The 8,735-nt window shown below is 37.3% G+C and overlaps 1 annotated feature.

Moving 5' to 3' along the window:
• Window positions 392-561: an enhancer, noted in NCBI's record as "active region_20719". NCBI's record gives its function as "activates an Ori minimal core promoter by ATAC-STARR-seq in GM12878 lymphoblastoid cells {active_cell/tissue: GM12878}" and the evidence as "EXISTENCE:reporter gene assay evidence [ECO:0000049][PMID:35858748]".

The raw sequence follows: 8,735 nt of genomic DNA, 5'->3' as shown, positions 1-8,735 counted from the left end.
CTGAAGAATCTACAGGTGTGTGTGTATCTTCTTGGATCAAGCATTGGCATCAAATGGAGTATTTTGATCTTTCACACTTTTTGCAGAAAGCATAAGGTTAGAATACAAGTCACAATTAGTCCTTAGAATGTAAATGAATTAGTTTATAGGGTTTTTTTTAGTACTCTGCAGGGGAATATGGAATATAGTATAAAGAAACTAATACCACTGACTGTTTGGCAGAATTCTATTTTAAATTCCTTGGAAAAGTAAGCTTTTCATTTCTGAACAAAATCAGAATCTAGTAAAGACTTTGAACTAGTTTTCAACTAGCTCAAGTTTAAATTTAGGTCCATGAAGCGTGGGAGTGCCTACAGCCTGGCAAAGAATAAAGTACTCCTGCATAGATCACTTAGCTTGGGTCTCTGCTGTGGAGGGTCGCATTGGGGCCAGTTACTTATAGCTCAAGGTTTCATAATTTCAGCACGATACACATTTCAGGCTGGATAATTCTTTGTTGTGAGAGCCTAGTCTGTGCATTATAGGAATATTTAGCAGCGCCCCTGGCCTCTATCCAGTAGATACCAGTATCCTGTGCCACACTTCCCTAGTTGTGACAATGAAAAATGTCTTAGCATTGCCAACTATGCCCTGGGGAATCAAAATTGTCCCTGATTGAGGACTTCCCAGCAGCTAGTTTATTTTCTACTCTCCTATGTGCTTTTCAGGCAGGAAGAGGGAGAGAGAAAGCTGTAGGTGACATGAAATCTGCTTTTGGCTTCTGAAACAACATGAGAGAAATGAAAGAGAAAACGAATACTTACTAGCATCTGTTGTGCACTAGAATACACTCCATTTGTGCTTTTACATAAATTTGGGCTTCTTAAACTAGAGAGTGGGCCAGAGTTGCACTAAACCAGAAGGTAAACATATAGCATCAATTTTACTTGATGGTAAAAATTCTGAAATATTTATTTTTCTTTAAATCACATGCATACAGAGTAGAATATAATGTGTGTGTTAATATTGAAGTTAAAGTATAAAACTACAAATAAATTTTGCATGAGTTGGATTTCTTATGACTGGCCCTGCTCCCAGAATCTGCATAGGCATGGATGCACTCTCAATCACTGTGGGTATCTTTGGTGGAAGCGTGTAAGAAGCATGATGTATATTAATCAGTTTACATTTCTGTGAACTAAGTAGGTATACTCCTATCATTTACTTACTTTTTTAGATAAAGAAACGAAGGCTCAGAGAGGTTAAGTAACTTATCTAAGCTCACACAGCTATGGTACAAACACTATAGGAACTTTTCAAAGTCTTCAAATACTATGTTCTTTTCATTTTCTGATGAATTAATAGGCAGGGTTAGGTCTGGGTAAATTTTTGAGAAAGGTGAAAATTTGTCTTTTCTTTCTTTAATTTTTGTACTATCTTTATTCTCTCCTCGTGTAACCCCTCTTCCCAGAAATAAAAAAACACCCAGTGCTCTTTCTCTGTTCAGATATGAACATCCATCTGCTAAGCATTGCAGGTCTGCTTATTTATTAACTGGAAGAAATGGCTGATATTTCAGACCTTGTACAGTGGTTCTACATGGTGATGGTGATGGAGGTGACAGTAGCAGTAAGTGCAAGAGTTTCCCTTAAGTCACGTATGTAGTCAAATCTGTTCTTGTTGAGGCTAACCTAGAGAGTGGAGGTCAGTAGTGGGCAGAGATTGAAACCAGACAAACCTCTCTGTGTGACTTCAAAGACTTCCTTGTCTTTAACTCCAGGAGTCTAGTGGTAGTAGGGTCCTACCACTTATCTGGTAGGGAAGATCAAATTGTCTTGAATTCTAGAAACTCCCAGATGGAACAAAACAAAAGAAAGTAATTGGGAGGCACAAACTGTACCCTCCTGGCGCCTTCGTGGGAGTCTTACCATATTTTTTTCCCTTTCCCCTTCTCAGCACTGTGCTGTCGCCCAAGCACCAGGGGAACCCAGCTGCCTGGTTTTCTTTGGCGGGGTCTTGTGGCTGCTTTTTAGTCTGTCTTGTTATCTCTCTCCTCAGCTGACCCTAGAAATGCTTAATTTGGCTGTGTGAAAGTAATGCTAATTTCAGTCATTTAAGTAATCATTTGCCATTTATACTAAATTGCCGTGTAATATTACAGTGATTATGCATATCATTAAATATGTGTCACATTAGTCTTGTGGTGGGTTTTATTTGATTATAGCACTAAATCATGCTCAGGATTCTTAGACTTCTTAGTTTGTTGCTTATATTATATTGTGATCATTACATAACTTAAAAACTTAGGGAGAATGTTGCCATTGAGGGAAAGTTTGAGAGAACACATCTATTTCCCTTCCTGCCTCATTATAACCATGAAATTGACAGCATTGGTATCATTCACATCTTTCAGGTCTCTAAATTTACCTTTTTGATCTCACAACGTGGATTGTCTACACAAATTCATCCTTTTGAAACATTTAATGAATAATCTGTTTTAAATTGTGTTTTAAAAAGCTTATCTGCATTTCCTATTGAATCAGGTTATTTTCTATGTTCACCATGAGTCTTCACCCATATGCATAATGTTAATGTATAAAAAAGAATAATTGCTGTCCTAAGAATGAACATAGCTTCTTTTTCCATGGGAATACAATCTTAAATGATATACACTCAGTGTTAGCAGTGCTTATCTACATATAGATCTTGCATTATGGGATTTTTTTAACCTTCTTTATATTTTTTGGTACTTTTGTTTTTAACTAACAAGCATGTTGTTGCACTTATTTTCAGAAACTAAGTAATTTAACACCAAAATGTTTCTTGAATATATGTTAATTTTTAATTGACATCTTCAATATTAATTACCTTCTTGACTATAATATCAAACACATGTAATATTTTGACCCTTTGATCATTTTACTTTGGAGCATAACCATAGGCTTATTATCTTATAATGTATAAAAAAGCAACTAAATTTTTATTCTCCCTGTCCAATCAGTTTTAATTCACTTCAGCAAATATCCTCTCTATTCCATATATCTGGAAATACCACAGGACCCAATTTTACACCAGTTGGAGTCCTCATCTCCTGTTTTTTTTAAACTTGATTTTATTTGTCCTTTTTAAAATTTATTATAAGATGCTTCACATTATTTTATAAAAGTGGAAAGGCATGGAAAAAGGTAAGACTTTGTCCTGATGTACCAGTGCTCACAAGAAAAAGACTGCCGTTTTATGAGTGCTTCACGGTGGAATTGGGAGGTAATAGCTGCTGTTCTTCATTTTCTCCACATAGTGTTTTATTCACATACTGGAATGCTTTGTGGACACAATTGTCAAAGGCAGGGAACCCCAGCTGCCATGCAGTGGTTTATCTCCGCTATATGAAAAATGGCAGATTCTGACTTATAGTTTAATTCCAGATTTCTCTGAAAGGCAGGAGAGAGGAAAGGGAAAAAATACAGGAGGGTAAAGATAAGAACAGGCTAAGATTTGCACCTATGTTTTACAAAGTTATCTGAAAAGCATAATTTCACAAAGTATTTCCCTTTAAATTAAATTACTGAGCTGGGTTTTACACCTGTCTCTCTTAGCTGCTGAGACAAGTCCCAAATGGAGATGACATGACTGATGGCTTTAAGTGTTTATCCATTGTGTCTCCTGAGCAAGGATTAAAACAGCTACCTCCTGTCATGTTTGCTTGCCAAGTTTTAGACAGATTTTTAAAAAGAATTTGATTTGAGAACTGTTCTTGACTTCGGTTGCAGTGATCAAATTTACCACTAGACAGAGCTGTTTGTCTTATTTTTAACCATTGCAGACTAAGATTTGCAAGACAATTAGAACCAATGAAAAGGAAAACCATAAATGATAATATCTTTTATGAGATGGACACTCTTAAAGAATATACTTATTGCCCTTTTACTGCTGAAAATACATAATTTACAGGTTGTTCAGTGTCATTGTCACTTGGGAGGCTGCAACTCAATTCTCAAATTTCCACTCATCAGCAGGAAGATTTCAATAGCTAATAAAGATAATCAGGATGTATTATGCAATTTTCTCATTCTTTTATATTACCGTAGCTAAAGTCACAGTGACATCCTACATCCTAAGCTTTTACTGGAAACATCTTTGTAATTTATTCTCTGCTCTTTTCTATGAAAACTACCTATTTTGCAAGCACAGCTTTTGGAATTATAAGAATGTTATACTATTGTATACATTATATGTTTTATTTGCACAGCAATTTTCTACCAAGATGTGCAACATGTTTAAAATTTTTAAATTGCTACCATCCAAACTGAGTCCATCCTAAGCCCAATCCACAAAACCCTAAATTCTGGCTAAAACCATAATCTAGGGGTTCTTCTGAGGAAGGGCCTGGGCAGAGAACCCAAAGCAGGTCTTTAGTCTTTACATGCATGAGTCACCTTTACTTGTCAAGGTATACAACTCCATAGTGCCTCAAACAGTCCTCAGAGTTTAGTCTCTGGACAAGCAGCAGTACATCCCCTGGGAACTTGTGAGAAATGCAAATTGTCTGGCCAACCCCAACCTACTGAATCAGAAACTCTGGGGATGCAACTCTGTAATCTGTGTTTTGATAAGCCTTTTGGGGGATTGTGAAGCAGGCTAATGTTTGAGATTTGCTGACATTTCCAAATGAAAAAGAGAAACCAAATTATGAAAAAATAGTTATCTGAAATAGAAACAATACACAGAACAGTAGAGAACATCCAAGGAACTATAATTAATGATCTCAAAAATATACAAGAATGCTGTGAAAGAGAAGAAGAAAGAGCTCCTGAAAATGAAATATTAGTATATAAAATATTCAATGAAGAGTATTAAATTAACTAAATGAAATTTAAAATCAAAATTTAATAAAGAGTATGAAGATAAAGTTGCAGAAAGTAGTATAAAGAAAAAAACAGGTGGGAAAGAAAGACTAGATAACAACTTTGAATTATGAATACATGACTTCCAGTATCTACTTAACAGGATTTTCACAGAGACACAGAGGAAATTATCAAATAAACACTAAAATTGAATATTTAAATACAGAACCACCAAATGATGTAAAATTAATTCCAATTACTTTTTAAATTTTCCTTTATTTAACGTGGTTTATTTCTCAAATTTTTCATATACAATATAATCTGTCAGCTATTCTCTTTTTGCAAATTTTAATTTAAATGAAAGTGAACATTCACGTTTGTATGCTAAGATAAATATTGTTTGTTGCTGAGCTATACACTCTACTATGTGTATGATGTTTCCTCTTTTACATAACTTTTTGTTTTCTCCTAAAGTTAATAATTGATTTTTTAAAAATTTGCTTAGTTTTTATTACCTATGACCTATGTGATAGACCTTTCAACTGCTTATTGATAATATTTTCCAGATAATCTAACATGGGATGATCAAGTATTTCATTTTTTTTTTTTTTGCCTAGAGACCTCAATCCATCCTCCTGCCCCAACAATCTGACAGGTAGTTTTCTGGGTGTGCTGAGCAATTGTCATCCCAGAACTTCCACTGTCACTTTTCCTGTGTTGGATCCACTGTTTCCTAGTGCCATGTCTCCCTAGTCCTTGATTTACCCTTTAACTTTGTTGAAGCACACACTCTGCTTGCATCATAGGAAAGGAGACACACAAGTGGGATAAATATTGTGAATCATTGCATGCCTGAAAAATTCTACATTCTTGATTAGCTCAGTTTAGTATTTTAGACTAAAATTTATTTTCACTTCAATTTTTGAAGGCTTTGCTCTGTTGTTTTCTGACTTGCTGTGTTGCTAGTGAGAATTCAGATGCCATTTTCACTTTCTTTTTCCTTTTTATGTGACTTTTTGACTTTCCCATCAAACTTTTAGGATCTTCTGTTTTAGTAGGTGTTCTGAACTTTCACACTAATGTGCCTTGCTGTGAGCCTTATCTCATGAGCAGAGCACTGAATGAGCCATTTCAGTCAAGAGACTCACACTTCTCAATCCTGAGAAATTTTCTTTTAGTGACTTTTGGGTTAATGCCGAAATGAGCTGAGACTTTGGGAGACTGTTGGGAAGGCATGATCGGTTTTGAAATATGAAAATATGAGATTTGGGAGGGGTCAGAGGCAGAATGACATGGTTTGGCTGTGTCCCCACCCAAATCTCGCCTCCAATTGTAACTCCCACAATTCCCACGTGTCATGGGAGAAACCCAGTGGGAGGTGATTGAATTATGGGGGTGGTCTTTCCTATGCTGTTTTTGTGATAGTGAATGAGTCTCACAAGATCTGATGGTTTTAAAAATGGGAGTTTGCCTGCGCAAGCTCTCTCTTTGCCTGCCGCTATCCATGTAAAATGTGACTTCCTCCTCCTTGCCTTCTGCCATGATGGTGAGGCCTCCTCAGCCATGTGGAACTGTAAGTCCAATTAAACCTCTATTGTTTGTAAATTGCCCACTCTCAAGTATGTCTTTATCAGCAGCATGCAAAAAGACTAATACCAGTGTCGTGCTGATAATATTAGTTTTGGTACTGGCAAGGGGACTCCCCAAATGATCCTAAACTGAACTTGAAACTTACCTACCACTCATCTTTCCTATCTCAGTGATTGGAACCACCATCTGACTAGTTGGTCAGGCTACAGACATGGGGATGGCCCATTAATTCATTTAATAGACATTGAATGCTTACGACATCCTAACCACTGTGCTGAGAACTGGAGATACAACAGTGAACAAAGCAAGATCCAACTCTGCCTCAATTCGAGGAGCTTATATCCAAGTAGTGGGAGATAGTTAATAACCAAAATAAATAAACTGTACATCATAATTCAAAGAGTGATAGGCATTAAAAAGAAAATTTGGAGTACTGTCATGGAGGTTGAAATTTTTAGTGGTATGATCAGAAGAGGCCTCAGTGAAAAGGTGATATTTAAACAAAGACTTGAAGAAGGCAAGAGTATGAACCATATTGTTATCTGGATGGAATAAATAGCAAGGGCAAGGCTCTGAAGCAAGATAGTGCCAGAAATGCTTGGGTACCACCAGGAGATTGGTGTGAGTGAGATGGAGTGAGCTTGCAGGAGGCAATGGGGTAGGGGTAAGTGGGGTGATGGGTTTGGTGTAGGCTTCGTCAGTCCCTATAGCCCACTGTAAAGACTTTGGCTTTCATTTTGAGTGAGATGGGAAACACCAAAGGATTTTTAGCTGAGGAGTGGATGTGACCTGAGTCATCGGTTGAGAATGATGACTTCCCACTTCCTTAACCCTGCCAGCCAATCATCATGGGCTATCAGTTCTATTTCCCCACCCCCCACTGTCTCTCAGATCTGTCCCACCTTCTTTTCCCCTCATCATTGCTGCTACCACACACTAGTCCAGGAAACCATAATTTCTTGCTTGAGTTATTTTAATAGCTTCTTAGTAGGGCTTCCTGATTCTTATTTGCTGACTTCTAATTCATTTCCCACAATGTTTCCAGAGTAACCACTCTGAAAATTTGATAGATTTACACTTCTGGTTAAAGCCATAAGTAGCCTTCTTTTCCCTCTGAGAATAGATTGCAAAATCCTCAACATGACTTTCCATGGTCTATTCCCCAATCTTCAGCTTCACATGTTCCCTGTCCTCCTATTTCACATTATACGTTCTGGCCATCCTGAACTTTTCATTCCCTGAATATATGATGTTTTCCTTTGCTTCTGAGACTTCACAGACTACTTGCTCCAAGAGCCTTCCTTGGTTTTTAAATCTGGATTGGTTCATTATCTTTTTGCTCTTCTAGCACCCTCTACTTCCCCTACACTGAAACTGTCATCCTATATTCCAACTGTTTCATTATCTATTTCCTCACTCTTCTTTTGCAATAGGTGAGGACTGTCTGTCTTGTTCACACCCAGAGACGCATTGTCTGTGACATAGAAGGTGCTCAGTATAGATGGGGGTGAATGATGAATGGATGCCAAAACTGCTCTATAGATACTAACACTTTGAGGACATTAATGAATTACTTCTTGTCACAGCCAGAAGACACTAAAATATATGTTGAGTGCATGAAAGAAGGAATAAATGAATAAATATGTTTTTAATTCTTTATATTCTACTCATTTGCCCCTCATTGTTTAACTGCTCATCAATAATGGTAATATGTGGCCACCCACTAGCCCTACACATATGTGCAGCAGGTAATGGCTTACACAGGGTAACCTCATGAGTAGTCCTCACTATGAGTTCTCCTCACCTTCAGCCCTTGAAGCAGTGGCATGAGCAGCACTGGCTTTGGCTAGCTTTGAACATGTGGTCAGCTCAGAATGCTAAGCCAGCAATGATCTAAGTGGTGGTCAGCCCGGTCAGTGACGTTAGTGGATGCCAGTAGTTGCACAGCCAAGGGAAAAGCTTAATACTGGCTTCCAATTATAGTGCTGTTTCCTTTATTTAAATCTGAATGTAGTAGAAGCCTCAGTAGTCAATGGATAATGAGAAGATTGGGTTAAGAGTACATTTGAGACATATTTCAGGTCTTTTAGAAATACATTGGTAGTTTTTGGCCAAGCATGTGGCTCATGCCTATAACCTCAGCACTTTGGGAGGTTGAAGTGGGAGGATTGTTTGAAGCTAGGAGTTCAAGATTAGCCTGGCCAACACAGCTAGACTCCATCTCTACACAATTCTTTTATTTTTATTTTTTATTTTTTTGTTATACTTTAAGTTTTAGGGTACATGTGCACAACGTGCAGGTTTGTTGCATATGTATACATG

This window comes from Homo sapiens, chromosome 3 (assembly GCF_000001405.40).
Source record: "Homo sapiens chromosome 3, GRCh38.p14 Primary Assembly".
Taxonomy (NCBI): Eukaryota; Metazoa; Chordata; class Mammalia; order Primates; family Hominidae; genus Homo; species Homo sapiens.
Note: the sequence above shows the minus strand (reverse complement) of the source record. Positions and strands in the feature narration are given on the sequence as shown.